Genomic DNA, 22,426 nt, shown 5'->3' with positions numbered 1-22,426 from the left:
ATTTTGAATTACTGTTTAATGTTGCTAGGTAAAAAAAACCCAAACGAGCTTCTATATAACATAAATCTGACTTCTAGTAACTTCCCGTCTTATTCCCAGATCTTCTCTTTGTAGCAGTAGTTTATCTCATTCTCTGTTGTCATGTTTCCAGGGGTTCCCTTTTCTAAGCTGCTCCCCACTTGTGACCTTATTCCTTTATGGAATAAGGTCCTGAAGCATGGGGTTTGGAGTCACAGACATTAGCTCAAATTCAACTATATCTCCACACACTGGTCTTGTGATCGTGAACACATCATTTCTCTGAATCTCAAACTCTTCACCTGTAAAATGGAGATGTATGCACTTTACAGGACTGTTGCATGTAATGAGATCCTGTGCCTGAAGTGCCCAACATTGTGCTCTGTAGAGTAGGTTCCCACTCAGCAGCAGCTGTGATTTCTGTTGGGTTTGATGTTGTGATCTCAGACCCTTCAACCAAACTGGTTAGGGGCTCTGAATATATTGAGGTTGGTTCAAATGCAGTGGCACTTGGATCTGAGCAGAGTTTTGTAGCTGGTATCCAACTGATGTCAGCTCAGGGCACCACTGCTTCTTGTGCTGTGGGTTCAGTACTCATGCTCCTTCCCACTGGTTAGCAGGCCTGTCAAGTCACTGGTCATTTCATGGCACTTGTTCTTGATGGGACCTTTAGATCATTATGGCAGTAGCATTGCACTAACTCACCCAGGTCGACTTAAGACATCACTGTTGGTCCTAGGCCTTGACATCTTAGGGCATCTCCCATGGCACTGCCAGCTGAGAGGTGGTTTTGGGAGCCTGACACTTTTTAAAGGACCTTTGAAAGAATTCTATGGAACAATAATTCTTATCCTCCCTTGGCTCATGGATCTTTTGGAGAATTGGATGAAAGTCCTGGCCCTCCTCTCTAGAAAACATCCACATATACATTTACACAGTGTTTCACATACTATATGGGAAATCTCCAAGGAGTATGAACCCTTGGCTGGCAAGTTTGGATTGGGAACATGCCTGCCACTTGTGGGGAGCTGTGAACTCTTTCTGGGGAGGGAGATCCAGGCAGCCTGCCCTCCCATGGCCTCAGAAAAGTGAGAAGGATCCAAGCACTTTCCTCATCGAGTTCAGATCAACTGTATGAAACCTCAGAGGGGCCTTCTCTATGCCTGCCTAACCATCTCAGTCTGAGCAATCCTACAGGTTCTGAACGTTAATCAGTGTCATTGTGAGTCTGTGGATGTTACATGGAAGTTAATTGGTTCTTTGGAGGAAAATGAGTCACCATCCATGAGATTAGGCTTCAGGGCAGCCACACACAGAGGAAAAGGAAAATGAAGCTACACACAGAAAAGATCAAGTGTGCCCATACTTCTCCTCCTAGACGGCAATCCGAGACGAGCCCACTTCTGCTGATGGGGCTTAAAGAGGTTTTCAGAACCAGTAAGACAAAGGACGCTGTCTCCTCCTCCCCCGTCTTTGTTTCTTTCCCTCCTCTTCTGCATGTGGAGCCACATCTAGCGGAGGGGGAAGGGGACAGGCCATCCGCTTGACTGTCAGAGCTGATCACTGCTGACCTTATCAGAACACAGAATCAATACACTCTCCTCCCAGCAGCCCAGAAAAATCATAAGGAGTTTGAACCAAAGCAATTTGAAGTGCAGAATCGTCTGAATCAGGGGGGAAGCCAGTAAACTGTTGGACCTCTGAATCCTCCCATGCCCTTCTTCAGAGTCAGGTGAGACCAGTAACCTCACTAGAATTCTAGTGCAGGATGGGCACCTGATGCGGGGGGAAATCCAAAGCAGCCACTGTTAATCAGCCCCCCTCCTAGCTGGCTGATACTCTGGGTTCAGAGCATGAGCTGTGTTGGGAAGGAGGGCTGTGGTGTTGAGGGCAAGAGCCTGGGACAATGGTCTTAGTCTTTGCCAGGGCCCTTTGGCAGGTTCTTTCCAAGCCTGGCCCTGGAGCAGAGATCACTAGGTGAGGAAAGCAAAATCACCTAGTGACCATTGAACAGGCCCCGGAGAAAAAACGCCTCATCTGAGGAATTTAGAAGGAACTAAAAACCACCTAGTGACTATCAAACAGGCCATCCGGAGATGAAACTCATTACCTGGGGAAATTAGAAGTAATTAGACTTCCTTATTATCTAAAACAGGCATCTGGTTCTAGATTTCTTTCCCTCTCCAAAATTTATAAGAATTAGAATTTCTATACATCTCTGGAATGCCACGCTAAAACTCAATCTGCAACCTTTGCTGATATTAAGGCACCAATATGTCTACAATGTCATTTATCATGACCTACGTGACTAATATAATCCAAATTACCCTTAAGCTCATGCCTTAAGGTCCATAAATGCTTCCAAGGAAAAATCCACTGCGGCTTGCTCTGTCTTCTGTTGCCGAGGCGACCCGCTGCACCCTTTTGCAGCGTTCTTCCTTCCTAGTAAACTTTCCTTTTTCAAACCTATACTATTGTTGGTAAATTCTTTTTACCAAGCCACGAGTTGGATCACTTCCCAATGCCAGGGCTCTGACACCCTGCCTGGCACGAGGCTCTAGCCGTGCCCTTGTAAAAACCAAGGTTTATCACTGATTTAGAACTAAGTGGCCTTCATCATGTTACCATCTCTCTTTGCTCTCTCATTTCTTCGCTGCTCTATCTTTTCTCCCGATGTGTTTTTTTCTTTTCTCTTTCTACTTTGCCTCTTTTTTCCAGGAGGGATAAGACTGGGAAGAAGGAATGGATGAAAGGGATCACCTGGTACCCTTTCACTTTGGGTGAAAGGGAAGGGGAGTGAGAAGGGATCACCTGGTACCCAGCAGACGGGCCAGCCTTCATGCAGAAGGTGGGTCACCTCAGTGACGAGTTTTGGTTTGAGGTTTGGGGAGCCCAGCCTATCCAGAGCATCAGAGGCCGTTCCCTGGTGGCAGTGAGACCTGAGCTTTTCTTGGCCATGTCTTCCATCCCTTCTCTGGCCTTTTCAGTCCTTCTAAGAACAAACTAATGTCTTGAGTGCTGTGCACCCCCCCATGCCTGGTATTCCTGCCACCTCAGAGCTCTTAGCAGTTGGATCCAATGTAGCCCATGTGCCCAGGGATGGCAGGGCATCAGACATCCTTCTCACACTGTAATTGCCCATCAGTCTTTCTCCCTCATTTGGCAGCAAGCTCCTTGAGGAGAGGGACTTGTCTGGTTCCCCTTGTGTCCTGAGAGCCTGTCCCAGGAACCCAACAGAGTAGGCTCAGAGACTGGACTTCCTGAGAAGTGCTCATCAGGAAGCAGGACCAGCTTGACCAGCTGATTTCTTCATTGACCCCCACATAGAGTTGTCTTGTCAGCCCCTCTGTGTCCTCGTCACTTTGTTGTTGAGCAAGAATATGGGCAGCAGATCTGGTCACCTCCTCAGCCTCACCACACACTTACACAGTCATGCCTTTGCAAAATTGGTGCCCTCTACCCAGGCACAATGAATTGCTCTCTTTTCTAATTCTGAGTTCCCAAAGGACTTTGTATTCACCTTTTTTATAGCACCAATCACATTGTGTTTTATTGGTTGTTTGTACGGCTGTTTCCTCTTAAGCAGACAATTCATCTGTTCCACGAACACTTGTCAAGTACCAGCCTTTGCCAGATATTGGGAGACATGAGGAACAGCACAGGCAGGGTTCTGGCCCTGATGGAGCCAAGTGGGAGGATGGATGGCCTAGACAATGCCAGGCACAAAGTAGGCCCACATCATATGCTTATGGAATAGAATTGAGGATGTGGTTACTTGGAGAGGTCAGGAGGGGAAGGGAGTTAATGTTTTATTGTTATCATACATAAAGAGAATCTAGAACTGGGAGGGAAGAAAAGTGACTAGAAACCAAGAAAATCAAGTTGGCTGAGGTGGGCTTGGGGAGGGAGCCCAGCAGGTCAAACCATTGTGAGAACAGCATTAATGAGGAGCCTGCCATCCACAGGGATCATCCAAGGCTGAGGCTGCACATTCTCTGCCAGCTGTTTATAACTGCCATCACTGTGGACAGGTCTCGGATCTGTGGCTGCCAATGCTGGGGGAGGGGGAACAGGTATCAGGAGAGTGTGCAAGGAGGCACAGTGGCAGGGGGGTCCTGGAGCCGACTTTATTAATTGAGGGGAATGTAATGCACCTGATTTCTTCTAATCACATGGGTAAATGGAGGGAAACCATCCCGGAGCAAGCACTAAAGCAGCAAGGAAGAAGTAGCACAGATTGGCGTTCTCCTCTGTATGGATGGAGACAGTGAGGTGGGGAGCAGATGGGAGTGGTACCGTGAGCTTTTAGAGTCACCAGCATGCAGAGTCCCTGCCTATGGTGCTGGAGAGAGGCTTGCCATTTCCCTGCATGGGCTGATGTGCCCTAGTGGCAGGTGAGGCTGCCAGTGTACCAGCTGTCAGGATTTCCTGATGGAGAAGCTGGGAGCCGGCCCCTTTGCTCAAGCTCAACCTCTCTTCCCAGAGTCTCCCTTCTCACACAACTGGGCTCCTAGGCCCAGGCATCCTAGGAAATTTTCCATGCCCCAGAACCTCATCAACCCTCAGGCAGGGAGCAGAAACAAACGTGGCAGTACCAGCTGCAGATGGCCACAGTTTCTAAATAAGCATTTCATTTGTCTGGAACCCAGGGAAAACGTGGTCAAGTTATAGAGAAAAATAGATGAGTAGGGAGAGCCTGATTTTAAATCCTGCTAGTTGTGCTCAGCGCATCCATAAAAATAAGCAGAGTTCTCTTTTTAAGGGGGCCACTGTTAATTAGCCGCGGCACCCATTCAAGCACTTCATCTAGTAATAACGTGGTTATGCCATGCTGGGGAAAAGCGTATGTTTCCACATATCCTTTTTATGCCTACTCCTGTCATGCCGAAATTGGCTCCTTCACTCCGTAACTGTGCTTTATGTAAGAATTGAACAGGAATAGCATTGCTTGTGTTTATACCTGCTGCCCTCCCCTGGAAGGCCAATTCTTCCTTGTTCCTCCTTCCGGAGGTCAGTGCTCAATCCTGATTGGAGTAGACATACGGTCCATTTCCATGAGCTGCGTGTTGTGTTTCTCTTTTTCTTTCCCCATTAAGTGATGTCCAGAAGTGCTTTCTGTGTCCTCTGTATAACCCCTGTTGGCTTGCACTGAGTTCTTCATGCATCTGGATGAATAGCAGGAGTTCTGCTGCCCACCTTCCCAAGATGAGGCTTCCATTCTCCTCTCATCCCCCCATGACAGGCTTTTCCTGCCCAAGGAGGGGTTTAGACGGTGATTCAGAAAGTCTCCTGCATGCCACCATGGTAAGACATTTTAGCAGGTGACAGGGTATGCATGGGGCACCTGACACCTGGCTTGAGTCCCAGCTGCACTGCTGATAACCTCATTGAGCTCCATTTTTCTCATCTGGAGGGTGGGACTGAGAAGCTCTGTTGCTGGGAAAAATGATGGCTACCAAGCTCCTGGGCATCTTTCAACCTGCTTCCTTAGATGTTCATCAGCCTGGGCTTACATGAGGTATGAGGCCAGATGACCTTAAAAGAACCTTAAGAAAGGCTAAAGAGCCTTTTATTTTTAGGCTGAGTCTGGGTGCAAAGGTTCTTGGGTTCTGAGTAGGGTCTGTTTGGTTTGGGTATTCTGATTTGCCCTTGGCTTTTAAAGACCCCATGGATCCTCATTAGTATAACAGCAAGTGATTTTTAAGCACGTACCATATGTAAGCTCTGATCTGGTGGTTTGTACTCTTTGAATTATTTAATCTTTTTCACCTCCCTATAAGGTAGGTATTATTATTCTCATTTTATGGATAAGAAAACTGACACTTAGAGAGTCCTGAACAATGGGTCTAAGATCTCACATCTGATAAATGTGAGAGTTGGGTTTCAATTGGTCTGTTGACTCCCACTTCCATCTTTACGCTATTCATTGTTAGCTCTCCAGAAATCTAAGAATCCAAGTTGAGCAACTCCCTGGAGCAGCTCTGTCCATCAGAACATTTTCTGCAATGATGGAAAAGTTCTGTCCTGCTGTGTCCAATATGATAACCATTAACCACTTGAAATGTTGCTAATGTCACAGAACTGAGTTTTAAATTTTATTTGATTTTAATTAATTTAAATTTAGGTAACTCATGTGGCTAGTGGTTACCATATTGGATAGTGCAGCCCTAGAGCTTGCATTTTGCTGATGCAAGTCCTCAAGGAGATTCCAGGAGCTCCTAATCAATGGCTCCTGCTCACACTCCTTCCATCCTACCCCCATATATGGGCACACACTTAATGATTACTCTCCTGTGATTCTATAGTAAACTGTACTTTAACTTTTGGTTTCTGATCTTTACTCTCTGGGCCTCCAGTTTCCCAGCTAAGCTCCATGTGCTCTTTCTCCTCCTCTGCAGAACTCACTTTGCTTCTTGTCCACTAGGAAGTTTAGATTCTCACAGTCTTATGAGGCACTGGGGACTCTGCCTTGGCTCTGTAGCTGTGATTGACGATCCTTTTAGCCCTCCAGAAGTGGCTGATGCTTGGGAACACAGACTCTTTTCACATTCTTGGCGGTTTGGGTGTCACATTTTTTTCTTTCTCTTTAAAATATCCTTTTTACTGGTTATAAAAGTAATGGGTGTTGGTTATAGAAAATGTAAAAAACATGGAAAAAAACCTATAGGAGGAAATAAAAACTTTGAGCCATAGTACTATTTAGACATTACCACTTTTATAATTTGAGCTTTTCCTTCTTTATATATGTATTTCTAATATAAGGGAAATACCATTTATATTCTCAATTTTTATTTAGCAATAGATCATGAAGATTTTGCCATCAAATATACTTCAAAAATATGGTTTGAAATGGGTATAAATTGTTTTCTTGTGTGACTATATCATAGTTTATTTAACAAATGCCTCAGTAGGACATTTAGGTTATTCCCAATCTTTTAATGTTACAGATAACACTCATCAGTATCCTGGGAGCTGATACAGAGAATTATTTGTATATATCTGTAATCAGTTCACTAGAGCGGATTCCTAGAATTGCAATTGAGAGGTGAAAGGCCATGCATGGCTTAAAGCTCTAACTCGGTATTGTCGAAATTGCTTCCAGGAAGATTTTTTACCAAGTTTTATTCCTATTCACAGAGAATGAGAATGCCTGACTATGTAGGGATCAAATAATCTGAGCAAGTGCCCCCCCCCATATCCACCACTGTAATTTTAAAAAATTGGAATTAGATTTTTCACTTACTTTTGCTGTGTAAGAACTTATCCCAAAACTTATCAACTTAAGTAACCACTTTATCTTATTCACAGTTTTCTGGAACAGTAATTTGGGAAGGTCTTGGATGGACAGTTCTTTCATGGGATCTCTGACATGGCTACTGTCAGAAGTTCACTAGGGCTGGAATCATCTGAAGTCCTTGACAAGGCTAGACAGGCAAGATGGCTCATTCACACAGCTGCACTTGGTGCTTCCTGTTGCCTAGGAGCTCAGCTGGGGCTGTTGACTGGAGTGCCCACATGTGAACTCTCTAGCATGGTAATCTTATGGTATTAGACTTTTGACATGGTGGCTAGCTTACTCCAAAGTGAGTGTTCCAAGGGTTCCAAGTGGAAGCTGTGTGGCTTTTTCTGACCTAGCTTTGGGAGTCATACAGTGTCACTTCTACCATACTCTACTGGTCAAAGCAGTCATAAGTTTGTCCAGATTCAAGAAGAGGGAATATGGACTCCACCTTAAAATAAGAGAAATGTCAAAGATCCAAGGCTATTAAAAAAACTGTCATAGAAGTTATATTACATGTAAGCATTGGCTGAACATCATTAGTGATATGTTCACCATCAATGGTACTCAAGTGTTTGAAGGACCTTTGTCTAAGAAGAGGTTCAAAGACCCTCCAGGATATGCAAGGTGACTGTCATGGGTCTTGTGTTGTGTTCATGTATACGTGAATATGGGAAAACATGAGCAGGCTGAGATTTGTTAGTCAATGTGAACGAAGAGTCAAGAGTCCATGGCCTTGACTCAAGGCCAGTGATGGGTTGAGTGCCATCATTGATCTAGGATTGGCTGGCTGATGACTCCCAGGCATCTCTGACATCAGGAAGGAGATTCAGAGACCAGTCAGGCAGGAGGACTCTGTTTTTGATGCCTTCTCTGGGGAGTAACTTGGGAGCCCAGCAGCAAGCCTCAAATTTGTGACCAGCCAAGAAGTGGTTAATCCACTGTCCCTACCATGTCTGCACTACAGGAGTCCCATCCCCAGGACCAGGGTGAAGGAACAAAGAGAGATTCACCTGGTTCTGACCATTGACTTTTAGTGAATAGACTTTTGTTTTAGGACCTTGAATGTCAATACCTGATTTGATCAACCTTGGACAAGATAGTGAAACAGAGAAGAAATCCCAGAAGGCCCTGATAGTTACCTGTGTTCATTGGTACCTCAGTCTAGCCTAGGACATCCATGTTGCCATCTCACCTTAGATACCATTCTTGACTCATTTTTTTTAAAATGTGCCCTACTCTACTTTGTTCCCAGTTGGACAGATGACCTAGCTACCTCTCAGGGTTTGGGGGGCCAGGATCCTGTCCCTGAGCTTTAAAACTCTTCATGACTCCTTGGGTCCATACTCACATTTTCTGCATGGTTCTCTCTAGATATAATAAGTATCCTAACCCAGATATTGGTTAGGAATGGAGCCCACATCCTATCAATCACCTCTTACCTCTGCACAGCACACAGCAGGGGAGTGTATCAGAATCTTCTGGGGACCTTTTCAGAATACATATGATCAGGACCTACTCTGGACCCTGGGTTAGATTTCTGGAGAGTGAGAGTTTGGCAGGTCTACTTTGAAACAATTCTTTGACAATTATGCTGCCACTTTCCTCCAAAGAGCCGTAGTTTACAAGGTGTTTTCTTTTACATCTGTCACCTCAGTTGATCCTTGCAAAAGGCAAGACAGGTGTTATTACCTGTTTCACAGAAAAGGAAACTGAAGCACAGGGAGCTTAAGTGACTAGTTTGTAAATCTCAGAGCTACATTTGAATCAAGAATTTCTGTCTCCTCTGGAAACCATTTGGCAGGTTCCTTTCTGTGAAGACCTCACGGGCACTTCCTTCATTGTGGCATTTTTTGGGCCATGAGTGGTGTGACTGGCAGATGTTTTGTTGGACTGTGCTATAGCTCAGTGGGCCATAGGGTCTGAGACAGGAAAGCTCTGGAGCTTAGACTGAGCCTCCTGCTGTGTACATAAGGAAAACTTCCTATCTGATCAGCTTGCAAATTTTAGCTGAATTGGGGTTATGAAGGTGACACTTCCTCTGGTGGGAACATTGAAATCATTAGGATGCACAGCACATTTCCAGATGCAACAGCTAGGCTCCATTCCTCCAAAATGTAAGTTGGTGGTGGTGAAAAACAACTGAACAAACCTTTATTTTACATTTCAAAGTGCTGCTAGGGGAGGAAGGCCAGCCTGCTCCTTGGAAGTGATTCTGGACAAGAACCAGCTCTTAAAGGCCAGGATGCATCCTTTTGAAAGAAAACACAAGGGGATATCTGGAATAAAAGCCTTCATCCCTAGCCAGCAGGAATGGTGAATGCTAACTAGGTGTCTGCCCAATCCTGTATCCATTTGGTGATAAAGACATTACAGTGTCTTCATGCTGGAGGAGATAAGTAAAGATGATAACCACAATATTTAAGAGTTAAAAGGGACCTCAGAGACCCCCTGATCACCTTTTATTATTTTCAGTACAAAAGCCAGGCTCAGAGTGGAGAAGAGCCTTTTCTAAAGTCACCAAGTGCATAAGTGGAACCCAGGACTCCTCCTGCTCATCATGCCACCTTGAAGCTTCCTGGAGCATCAAATGCCTGTTTGAGGGAGAGATACTTATTCTTAATCCATTCATGTTGTCTTTAGTACATGGGACCCAGGGTGCAAAGTGGAGTCAGGCATTTTCTGACTTTTAGTGTGGCAAGTTTTCAGTTTTGAACCTTTTTAATGCCATCCCAGCTCTCTTCCTTTGATGAGAGGATGAGCTATGCATTAAAATAGGATATCTACAACTGATCTGTTGAGTTTTGAGTGCTTAGAGAGGCTCCCAAACCACTTCTGCTACAGAGCTCAAATGGCCTCCATTTGTAAGGTCCTCATGATCTCAGTTAGAATGTAAAGCAATGAGCCATTATTAGCCATACATATATGACTTCCAATTTTGTTTTCCTGATGAGTTTAAATAACCAAGGAGATATTTCGATAGGGATAGTGGATAGGTAAGTTTGAAGGCTGGAGGTAGATTTTGAAATATGTGAGCAGTAAACATGGCCTAGAGAAGACATACTAAGTTGGGAATTTCATGGGCCATCGGGGACAATATAAAGGCACCAATGGCCTAAAGGTGGAGGAGGGAGAGAGAACCAACAAAGAATTGAGAGGGCAGGGAGTAGCAGCTCCAAAAACCTCCACTGCCTAGCTCAAAATTTTCCTGGGATTCATCCTTGCTACCATCCTTGGCTAAGTCCATGGGATTTCCCACCAGACGTTATGGCCATTGGGCTTTCTAATCAATAGTCAGAGAATCTGATTCTCCTTTGGTCTAAGAGTGCATCTGCCATGTCTGTGTGCTAAGAACTCAATATCAAATAGAACTGCACTCTGGAAGGACCCTCTGAGGACATCTAGTCAAGTCCCTTGACTGGGCAGGTGAAGTCCTGAGAGTTTGTGTAGACCTGCTTCAGCCAGCCAGTGGGGCATTGAGCCTAGGACCCCATTCCCCTGACTTCTATCTTTCTCTTTCATAACAGACCCTGAAATGGTGACACACACTTCTGCTTGTGATTTGTATCTGGGACTCGGAGCCCCAGCTTTGGCTTCCAGAATCTCTGAATTGACAGGTATTGGGGCAAGGTAGACACTTCTGACATCTTTCTTGGGTCGAATGATCATATGTGCTCAAAAGATGTCTTCATTCTGAAAAAAGGAGTATTCTCTAGACAGGTACATTACCTAGTGGACCACAGGAGTGAGTGAGAACAGGGAAGGAAGAAGGGAAAAGTGGCTGTGTTTTGCAAATTAGATGATGATAAGGATAATTTCTGCAGTTCCATTTCCTAGAGGGAGTACTTAGTAAGTGGCATATCCTGCTCAGAGAGAGCCCAACCTGTCCACTCATTCTCATGCCTGATCATCCGACACCTTTGATAGTGACCAACAATAATAATTTACATTTACTGAGCACATTTTGCCAAGAAACTAAAAAACATATTATAAATGTCATGTGCTATGACAGGCACTATTATCCTGTGAGAAATATTGCAACAAATCATCCGATAATTAATTTGCAAATACCAGAAAACCAGAGGGTACTGGATGAAAACCAACATGACTGTGCAGGGAGCCAATCACATCAGACCAATTTAATTTCCTCCAGGTCAGAATGACAGGTCTGGAAGATAAGGCAAAAGCAATAGACGTAAAATATCCTGACTTCAGTAAGCCCTTTAGCTCTGTTCCATATGATGTCCTCATAAACATGCTATGAAAATATGGTGTTGGCTCTGCTATTGTTACTTTGTCTTTGATTTATCATAGTTCTCTCTCCCTAAAGAATTTGAATGGAGTGCTCTGCAGAAAAATATCTGCTGCCTGGGAGAGCACTGTAAGGGCCCTGTACAGGACTCAGGCCTGGAATTAGTCTTGTTCAGTAATATGATTACAGAGATAACTCATGGTGACACAACACTTTAACATTTACAAAATGCTCAGAGCTGGGTCTCACACCCAAGTCTTTAGTTTCTAAGCTTAGATTATTTTCTGCTCTCCCATACTGCCTTGAAAGGAGCTAGCTATTCACACAGCTATTCCAGAGGAACTATGCTTTTGTGATGAGGAGGTTTAGAACAGTAATATTTGCAGTGGAAGATGAGGGAAGCTGGTTCCCTGAGGATAGCCCCCAGCCCTGTGCTCCAGGCTTTTTCCATCATGATTCCCTTGGTGGAGTCAAGCAGTTGTGGGTGGGCCTGCTGGTGAGCCTGAAGGCAGATGTGATGCTGGGAGTTTGGTTCAGGTGAGGATGGAGTGAGTAAGGTAGAGAAGGCTCTCCATTCTCAAAGACTGGGGTGAAGAAGGGAGATTTCACAACTCCCTGAGAGGCCCAGCTGCTAAGAGGGCCAGAGGGACCCTCAGAGAGCTGTTGCACCTGTTGCCGGATGCGTGTGGTCCCTGGAAACACTGCCTGAGCCTGCTGACCAGTGGTGCCAGGTAGAAGAGGACTGCCACACTGTCCTATGTCAGGGAATGTGGGACAGAGCTGCTTTCTTGACCCCTGCAGAGAGGGCGCTTGTAATTGTTGGACAGCTTATTCACTGCCAGCCCACCAGGAGGCACAAATCCACCATCTTTCTGACGCCTTCTGGTTTGAGACACCCTAAACAGCCCAAACAGTGCGAGTGCCCAGGGAACATATAATCATGAGTAGAAAAAGAAAACTCATTATCCACTTAAGGGAATTTAGTAAACAATGAGAATAGGTAGCTTGTACTGAGGTAGAACAAAACGATGTGGCAGAAGAGAGCTTTATTAGACTGGAAGTAAGAGCTCTCAAGGAAAACCAGAGAACAACATGAATTTTCTTAAACAACGAAAAATGATTTCTTAATTTAAAAAATTTCAGCTGGGCACAGTGGCGCACACCTGTAATCCCAGCACTTAGGGAGGCCGAGGCAGGCAGATTACCTGAGGTCGGGAGTTCGAGACCAGCCTGACCAACATGGAGAAACCCTGTCTCTACTAAAAATACAAAATTAGTTGGGCATGGCGGCACATGTCTGTAATCCCGGCTACCTGGGAGGCTGAGGCAGGAGAATTGCTTGATCCCAGGAGGCAGAAGCTGCAGTGAACCGAGATCGCACCATTGCACTCAAGCCTGGGCAACAGGAGCGAAACTCCATCTCAAAAAAAAAAAAAAAAAATTTCATAGGCAAACTGTAAAAGGGACTGGTCACTGCTGGGAACCAAATTAGCATTCTGGATGATCATATGGGAGACATAGCTCACCAACTAAGTGAAAATGCAAAATACAAAGATATGGTGCTTATGAGCAAAACGCTAAGAAATATAACCAAGAAATCTAATATGAAAAAAGCCAGGGGTTATAGAAGGGTAGAAGGAGAGATAATAGCTAAAGAAATGATAGATGAAACATTTTCTGACTGAAGAAAGACATGGTCTGTAGTAAGGAAGGGCTCAGTGAGAGTTCCAGGATTGTTGCAAACAGATGCACCCCAGGCATAGGAGGCGTTGCTGAGCTCCAGAGAAAAAGAAAATTTTACAGACTGTGGATAGAAAAAAATGAGACATTTACAAAAAAGGCTTTTACATTTATTTGTGGAACTGGAAACTGGAAGACTGTGGAACAATATTTACCAATATTGAAAGAAAAGGGAATGATTATCTCTCAGAGAGTTTTTGGACATACAAAGCACCAGTGAAGATTCTACCCACATTCCACATGCAGGGTCAAAAATTAGAAGGGATGGTAAAAATGACTGTAGCCCCCCATCAATCATATTGATTTTTCCCTTTGTGAGTGTGTGTGTTCCCGTGTGATAAGGACAGGGCATCCTAATAGTAGGGAATGGAGAGAAAGTCAGGAAGTCTGTTAAACCGGTAGGTGGGCTCAGAAGGTTTTGATGCTTGTTTGCATTTAGAAATGTTTACTGAAGAACTGAGTTGACTATAACAAACATAATCTCAGCCTTGTGTGAGGGGGCCACAGACAAACAAATTTGGTTGTAGTGGAATTTCCCAGTGGGAGAAACAAGACATAGTGCTGGAAGACCAGACGTTCCTTCCTGAGCACTTTCCCCCTAAGGTTGCCAGGCTTAGCAAATCAAAATACAGGATACCCAGTTAAAAATTGGAAATGGGAGAAAATTTTTGCAATCTATCCGTCTGACAAAGGGCTAATATCCAGAATCTACAAAGAACTCAACAAATTTACAAGAAAAAACCAAATAACCCCATCAAAAAGTGGGCAAAGGATATGAACAGATACTTCTCAAAAGAAGACATTTAGGCAGCCACCAGACATGTGAAAAAATGCACATCATCACGGGCCATCAGAGAAATGCAAATCAAAACCACAATGAGATACCATCTCATGCCAGTTAGAATGGGAATCATTAAAAAGGCAGGAAACAACAGATGCTAGAGAGGATGTAGAGAAATAGGAACGCTTTTACACTGTTGGTGGGACTGTAAACTAGTTCAACCATTGTGGAAGACAGTGTGGCAATTCCTCAAGGATCCAGAACTGGAAATACCATTTTACCCAGAGATCCCATTACTGGGTATATACCCAAAGGATTATAAATCATGCTACTATAAAGACACATGCACAAGTATGTTTATTGCGGCACTATTCACAATAGCAAAAACTTGGAACCAACCCAAATGTCCATCAGTGATAGACTGGATTAAGAAAATGTGGTACATATATACCACGGAATACTATGCAGCCATAAAAAAGGATGAGTTCATGTCCTTTGCAGGGACATGGATGAAGCTGGAAACCATCATTCTGAGCAAACTATCACAAGGACAGAAAACCAAACACCACATGTTCTCACTCATAGGTGGGAATTGAACATTGAGAACACCTGGACACAAGGCGAGGAACATCACACATGGGGGCCTGTCATGGGGTGGGGGGCAGGGGGAGGGATAGCATTAGGAGAAATACCTAATGTAAAGACGAGTTAATGGGTGCAGCAAACCAACATGGCACATGTATACATATGTAACAAACCTGCATGTTGTGCACATGTACCCTAGAACTTAAAGTATAATAATAAAAAATAAATAAAAATTGGAATTTCAGGTAAACAAAAAAGTGTGTGTGTGTGTGTATTCCTAATTAGTGCATAAGCATCCTGTATTTTACCTGTATTCTCACCTCAACCTGGAGCCACAGAGAACTAACTACAGTTTTCGGGGAGCTTGGGATGTCAGCTATAGATAGATTCTTAATACTGGAGTTTCAATGGGAAGGGAAAAAAAGAAAGCTTGAAGTGAAAGATGGGGTCAGGGCCAGTGTGGGAACTAGAGAAGGAGTGGTTTCTGAGCACCAGCTTGTCTTTCTCCCATTTTAAAACAGATTTGAATTGGTACTTGCCTTTGTGGCATTTGAAATCTAATTATAAAGATTGTGTGTGTGTGATAATAAGAACTAAGTTTCATTGAGCATTTATCACATATCAGCCACTATGCTAAGCACTTTAGCTCACTTATTCTTCAAAATAATGATCCCCATTTTATAGATGAGGAAATTACACTGCAGAGAGTTTAAATAACTTGCTTAAGGTCACACAGCCAGCAAGTGGCAGAGCCAGGACTTGAACCCAGGTTTGCCTGATCCTGGGAGCTGCACTTTTGCCCTCTATGCCATCCTACTCCACAAACAAGTACAGCAAGCAAAAAAACAAAAACCAGGCATAGTGCTTGCTGACCCTGTTTGCAGGCTTTAGGGTGATCAGGGTGGAAGAGATTGACGGGGGAAGTCTTCTTGGAAAAAGAGACCAGAAAACTGGATTCTCTCCAATGGGTTTGAATTTGGGTTGGGGAAAGGAGTGAGCAGTGAGAATGTCAACTGGGACTAGTGGAAGGAGGGGCTAGGTTGGGTGGTCAGTGAGGGTAGGGGTGGATGGGTCATGAGGCGGTGCCCCAACACATCAGAGGAGACAGGAAGAGTTGAGTTGGCCTAGCAGGGACAGTATTTGTGTCCAGTGTGGTACACAGAGGGACCAGGAGAGAGGTTCACCATAGGCTGAAGAGGAGGGCAGAGGAGTGGTGGGGGTGGGGGTAGAGTGGGCAGGTTGGAGCCATGTTTAGGAGGTATGTAGACAAGGCTTAGAGATGGAACTTGATGTAATGTGGGGAGAGGCAGATGGGAGGATGCCCACAGCGTCCTGTGGCAGTGCCTCCAAGGGGAGGGAACCTGGTATACTGGCTTGGGTGGGGGCAAAAGGAAGGAGTCTTGTTGGCTACAGGGGGAAGCTTGTTTCTGGGGTAAGTTGCTATCCCCAGGAAAGGAGGGGACCAATAGTGTCTCTTCCTGTGCAGGACACAGGCAGGTGGCCCTGGTTAGAAACAGGTCTGCACACCAGCCTCGGGAGTGTGCTTACAGCAGTGACAGGTAGCAACAAGGGGGTCTGTGTGCCTCACCAGCAGCCTGTGAGCAGATCTTCCAGAGGAGCTTCTCCACCCCCAGGGTGGTGCAGAGCCCATGCAGAGACCTAACACAGTGAAGTGCAGGCTTAGGGCTGGCTGCTTTTGACAACAGTGCATTTGACTTTACGCCTCTCAGGCAGTGCCTACCCCCCATGCTGGCTTTACATAAAAGCCACACATCCTTCTAGATCACCCACAACTATGGGCCAGGTGCTGTCCGCAACACTGACTGTGGGCAAGCCAAGCTATCGCCATGCAGGGCTGCTGAAATAAAATGTGCGATTGTGCTCCAAGACACCTTAATTGTTTATTAATTACTCCATAAATCATAGTGACACCTGTGTTTGTGCTCCTGTTAATTTGCTCTCACAAGATGGGGGATGGAAGTACAACATACTTTCTTGAGAAGTGCATGGGCCAAAGAATAACTGGGTCTTTGCTGTGGGACGGAAGTACCTGAATTGGGAGGGGGACACCAGGGCTTCTCCTTCATTAGTCAGCCCCAACTACATTCCTGTTCACCCCTGGCCAAGACCACAGCTGGAGCCTTGACAGGGCATGGGTAGGGTGAGGTGCTCTACTTCCTCCATTTGATTTCATCTTCCCAGAAGCCGGTAAAGATAGGAGTTATTGTATTCATTTTATAAGAGAGAAAATGAGGCTCAGAGATTTTATGCAAGTCCCAAGGTCACACAACCAATTAAATGCAGAGTTTGAACATGAATTTGCTTGACTCCAAATGACGTAACCCTCGTGGAAGAGTCAGCCTGGGGAGGAGGGAGCTTTCCTGTTAATCCCTGATACCTCATATGTATCTTTTAGATTTGCTCATGGAAAGGCAATCTGTTTAAATGTTAATATCCCTCACATGTCTTAAGGATCATATCTAAAATGGAAACAGAATTCATGCAGAGTGCTTTAGCTGGGTGCCACTGCTGGAGTCCCCCTCTAACTGACCTCCATTCCAGACAGTCAGCCATCCCCATCCCTGGGAGCCTCTTTCTGCCCACATCTGTTGGCAGCCATCAGCAACCAAGCGCCTGGCCCTGGAGAGCATGCGATTGCTCCAGATGGCTAATAGAACTTTATTGCCACAATCATTCTTAATGTAGCCATTCCAAAGCCCCTGTCTGGAAGCTCTCTGCTCCTGCAGTGGTACAGCAGTCCCTGGTTGCTGGGGGTAGGGCCGTTGCTACCTACCCGCCCTCTCCTGAGCTTGATAGCATACTTCTGCATATGCTATGATGAACTGGCTCTTAGGAAGTCAGAGAATGCCACAAAACTCACCTTGGGGGTAATCATCTGCCCCTGGGCTGAGATCAGCACTTTGAAGAGAGGAGAGAGCACTCAAGGCAGTGGTTGGAAGAGGCTCTCTGTTTTGGGTCCTGAGCATGGTGGAAGAAGAGGGCATGCCAGGAGTGGAGGAAGAGAGCAAGTAGGGGGTGAGAGGCCCTCCATCCTCTCCCAATCAACCCTGCTTGTCCCTCAGGGCTCAGCTTTGAGACCTTCCTGACAAGCCAATCCTGGTATCCTCTGTCTTTCACAACCTTTTCTTTTCTTCCAAGCACTTTCCTCCGTTTGTGATGATAAGCTTACTAGTGGGCCAATTTGTTTAATGTCTCTCTCAGACATTAAACTATGCAGGGCTAAAGTTTGTTTTGATTGGCACAGTGCCTGGCACGTAATAAGTACCCAATAAATATTTGTGTGCCCAATAAATAAACGAATGAATGAATATTATTATTGAGCTATCGTTACTCTCTCCTGAAGAACGATTTTCTCAGGATCTACTGATAGAGAGTCTCATGATGTGCTTACTAGTAGGTGATTTAAGATTTGAAGGAAGGAGGGAGTGACACTAAGATGCTTTCAGAGGCTAACAGAGTAATTAGATTCTGGGCCCTGAAGCCTGAGGCTAAGATGCCCGACTTTACCTGGCACACAGTGGTTAGTGAACATTTTTCTTTTTTTGAGACAGAGTCTTGCTCTGTTGCTCATGCTGGAGTGCAGTGGCAAGATCTTGGCTCATTGTAACCTCCACCTCCCAAGTTCAAGCGATTCTCCTGCCTCAGCCTCCTGAGTAGCTGGGATTATAGGCGCCTGCCACCATGCCCAGCTAATTTTTGTATTTTTAGTAGAGACGGAGTTTCACCATATTGGCCAGGCTGGTCTCGAACTCCTAACCTCAGGTGACCCATTCACCTTGTCCTCCCAAAGTGCTGGAATTACAGGTGTGAACCACCAAACCCGGCCAGCACCGAACATATTACACAATAAGTGAGTGAACGAGAAAAGGCTAGAAAGAATTTATTTACTCTTTGTAGATGGCAAAGTAAGCAAGTCTGTAGCAAGTAAGCAAGAGAAAACTACCCATGCCTGCCAAAAAAGGAACAGGGTTGTTTGAACCCTACCTGCTCTGTTCATGAGGTAATTTCACCACAGCAAGAAGTGGGCATTTGACTTTCTAGCCCTCTACCTCTTCTTTATGTTCTCCCTGAAAGGACCTGCCAAGGCTTAGCACCTTCCAGCAGGGAGGCAGTGAGGTGCCAGGCCATCTCTCTGGGCTCTGGATGTGGTGGGACTGGAGGACATTATTGGTCAGTACCAGGATATGGACAAGGGAAGCCATGGGCCTTGGAAGAGCCACCAGCACAGCAGAACCACCTGTCATCAAGAAAAGGAGCTTACAGGGAGTTCAGGAGGTGGGGATGCCTCCACCTCCCCACTCTGTCCCCTGGTCCATTACTCCACTGGGGCCAGCTGCCTTAAGTGGGCAGGGCCTCACACTGACAGGAGCTTACTGGGAGTTCAGGAAACAGCCAGGGGTGGCAGAGCTGCCCAGCGGGTTGCATGGCCTGCAGGTGAAGCTTGGTTGTGTTTGCTGGACTAGGTCAGTTGTATTTAGTCACTGTGGTTGTCGTGGGGCTGGGGGAGGCCTCATGAGGGGCATGGAGCTTGATTTAGACCCCGAGAGTAGGCTGGACTAGCAGGAGAGCAGGGGAGCTTGGAAGGTGGGGGAAGACTGTGAGGACAGGATGGAGGAGTGGGGCACAGGGGCCCAGGGGAAAGGAGGCAGAGAAGATTCAAGAGGAGGCCCACTTCTGGCCAAGGAAGAGCTGCAGAGCTGGACTGTGAATCCAGTGGCCTGGAGCTATGCAGTTCTCCCTACAGGCTGGCAATGATAGGACCATAAAGATGAAGGTATGAAGGTAGCACTGAGGACTGAGAGGGGTAAGGAAGGGTGAGAGCCTCCAGCCAGGAGAACAAACTATATATGCCCTGCAGAAAGAACTGGGAGATGTGAACTAAGGCCACAGATTTGATGCCAGAAAAATCCCTATAATGGAGTATTAAACACCTGGTTTATGAAAACTTAGGAAAGATGTTGCGATCATTAGAACTCACCACAGGTTACTAAGTTTTGTCAAATTAACTTCATATGTTGGTCAGAGCTTCTATTATAATCTTCCAGGTAGACAGATCAGGGGAGAGGTCATACCTGTGTAAGCCTGGCTTGAGCATATCAGAGACCTTGCAGTCACACATTATCTCCATGATTCAGAGGAAAAAATGTGTGTTTCACATATTATGTCATTGTGAGAGTCCTGATGTTGAAGTAGGGGTGGGGGCAATGTTAAAGGTCTCTAGATAGGGTGAACATCTAACATCATGTACATGGGTTCATTTTTGAGAGTAGAAGGAGATGAGTCAGCTGAGTCCTTTGCGAAGCAGACATGAGACAAGAGGGCAAAAGGTTTATTGGAGAGGAAGTGAAAGAAAAGTGAAGGAGGAAGTAGAATGAGGTGGTGGTGGGGTGCTGTGAAAGCACAAGGCAGACCTGCCAGAGTCTTTTCAGTCCAGTGGGGAGCTCTGGAGCCAATGCTGACTATTAGAAGAAGACTTTATTGGGTGGAAATGTCTGGGTCCTTGTACTAACTTGCTCAGTCATTGGCCAGGATGACTGGCTCAAAAGCTAAAGTGGTCTTGGGGGATGCAACAGCTGTAGGTAACCACATTCCTTGCAGGAGGCCAGCAAGTCCTTCCTTGAGTGAGTATCTGAGTAGCACATCTCTGTGTCTGGCGCCAGTCACTGTTGATAATAATGTTGGGACAGAAGGAGTAAATCAGGATTGTCCTCAAAAACTAGGACATCTGGTCACCATATTTCAGAAGACTTTTATAGAATTCAGGCTTGGATTTAGTCTTATTCTGTCTTGCTCCTATTCTGTTAATTCTTTTCTTTAACCAGTTGCTTGTCTTGACTAATATAGCCAACATTCATTGACCGCTTATTTATATGCCAGGCATGAGCTGAGCATTTTATATAAATTCATTCATTTAATTCTAATGACTTCAAAAGGCAGATACTATTATCATAGTTATTATAAATTACACATATATACTTACTATAATTATATACTTACATATAATACATATACTTAGAAATAATATACAATATAGAACATTTATAATATAAGCTTATATGTAATATTATATGCTTATTTGATTATACTGGTATTATAATATCACTCATTTTACAATGAGGAAACAGGCACAGGGAGGTTATGTGGCTTATTCAAGGTCATACATCATGTAAGTGGTAGAGCTGGGTTTTAAACCAAGAGGTTTGCTTGCAGGGCCTGAACTTGTGGAATTTTGAGCTAGCAGGATTTCTAGAGGTCATGTCACTGAGATCCAGAGAAGTTATATAACTTTCCAATAGTCACATAGAAGGTTACGACTAGTGCCTATCTCCCTGACTCCTGAGTCCAGAGTTCCTTGAACACAGCATAACTCAGACATGCTTATTGAATCTGTAGATAATAGAAAGTTGGAAAGGAAAATTCTGCAACTGAAGATACAATAGAGGTTCAAAGTGATTTTGATAGACTAGAATGGGGGCTGAACCAAAAAGATGAAAGTTAACAGAGACATATGTAAATTTCTACATTTAGGTTCAAAAGCATCAATTGTACAAGTGCCAGCTGGAGGAGACCTTGCCTGAATGCAGTTTTCTGGTAATGAGATCCATCAGAGATGACATGAGGTGAGAATGAGGGGATACAATTTTAGGCTGCATTAGCGAGATGTCATTCAGATCACAGGAAATGAGGATCCTCCCTGTGCATCCCTTCTCCTACATCTGGGAAGTCAAGTACTAAGCTTTGTTCTTGCCACCATGTTTTAATAGGGATGGAGACTCAGATACCAGTATCTGAGTAGCACATCTCCATGTCTGGTGCCAGTCACTGTTGATAATAATGTTGGGACAGAAGGAGTAAATCAGGATTGTCCTCAAAAACTGATGTTTGAGTTTTTGAAGCCCCAGAGAAGGGTGCCACGAGAACATGGCCTCTAAACTGTTGCATGGAGAGTGGCTGGAGGTGCTGGGGACTCAGTGGGACTGAGGTCAGGTACATTGGCTGTTCAGCCCACATTGCTTCTCTCTCAGAGCTGGCAGGGGCTGGGCCACCTGTAGCCCATCCTCAGAAACCCTGCAGAGGCTGGGAGCCTGAGCTCACATTCGTATATGCAAACATGCTAGCCTTAATACCAGGAAGGTTAAGTTCAAGAAATTCCCAATACTCCAATGTCTCTTCCCCTAAAGTTCCCTGGGACCCTTTTACTCTCGTATCCAATGACCTTTTGTTTTGTCATCATTCAGAGTAGTGGCAGAGCCCCCAAGGGCTCACCCAAAGCCTCTCTCGGAAATCTCACAAATATGAGGGGAGGGTATTCTTTGCAAGGGGCTAGAGTTCTCAGGTAAGGGGATGGCCCAAGAGCCTCGGGATTTGGGTTGACCATTTAGGGGAATATCTTCTTAAAACTCTGTCCTGTTTTGGCTTCAGGACATGGTCTATCCTGGTTTGGGTGAACAGACTGGCTTAATGAGCTAGTAAGCATCCAAGGTGAGTAGAAATCTGAGAGAGGGTGGATAGGATGAGGTGAATTAGAGAGTGTTGAATTTGAGGTGTGAGTGGGTTCTCCAACTGGAAGTATTTCTTACAGGTTAGGAGCTCAAGAGAGGTGGGGACTAGGTCTGGGTAGTGTTACTAACACACAATTGGTAGATGAAGCTGAGAGTCCAAGGAAACTGGGAAGGTAGACCCTCATTACTGAAAATGAAGTCTATAGACCAGCAGCATTGACATCACCTAGTTAGAAAAGCAGAATCTT

General features: G+C 45.1%; 1 long non-coding RNA gene across 1 annotated transcript, besides 1 other annotated feature; it reads left to right on the top strand.

The window, feature by feature from the left end:
- Positions 1–10,841: 10,841 nt before the first annotated feature.
- Positions 10,842–22,219, top strand: LOC105374123 (uncharacterized). The gene is made up of 3 exons (XR_924529.2): positions 10,842–10,914; positions 21,205–21,296; positions 22,099–22,219. It is a non-coding gene; the product is annotated as an uncharacterized LOC105374123 (long non-coding RNA).
- Positions 19,843–19,892: an enhancer, noted in NCBI's record as "active region_20578". NCBI's record gives its function as "activates an Ori minimal core promoter by ATAC-STARR-seq in GM12878 lymphoblastoid cells {active_cell/tissue: GM12878}" and the evidence as "EXISTENCE:reporter gene assay evidence [ECO:0000049][PMID:35858748]".
- Positions 22,220–22,426: the final 207 nt, after the last annotated feature.

Source organism: Homo sapiens, chromosome 3, assembly GCF_000001405.40.
Source record: "Homo sapiens chromosome 3, GRCh38.p14 Primary Assembly".
Taxonomy (NCBI): Eukaryota; Metazoa; Chordata; class Mammalia; order Primates; family Hominidae; genus Homo; species Homo sapiens.
Note: the sequence above shows the minus strand (reverse complement) of the source record. Positions and strands in the feature narration are given on the sequence as shown.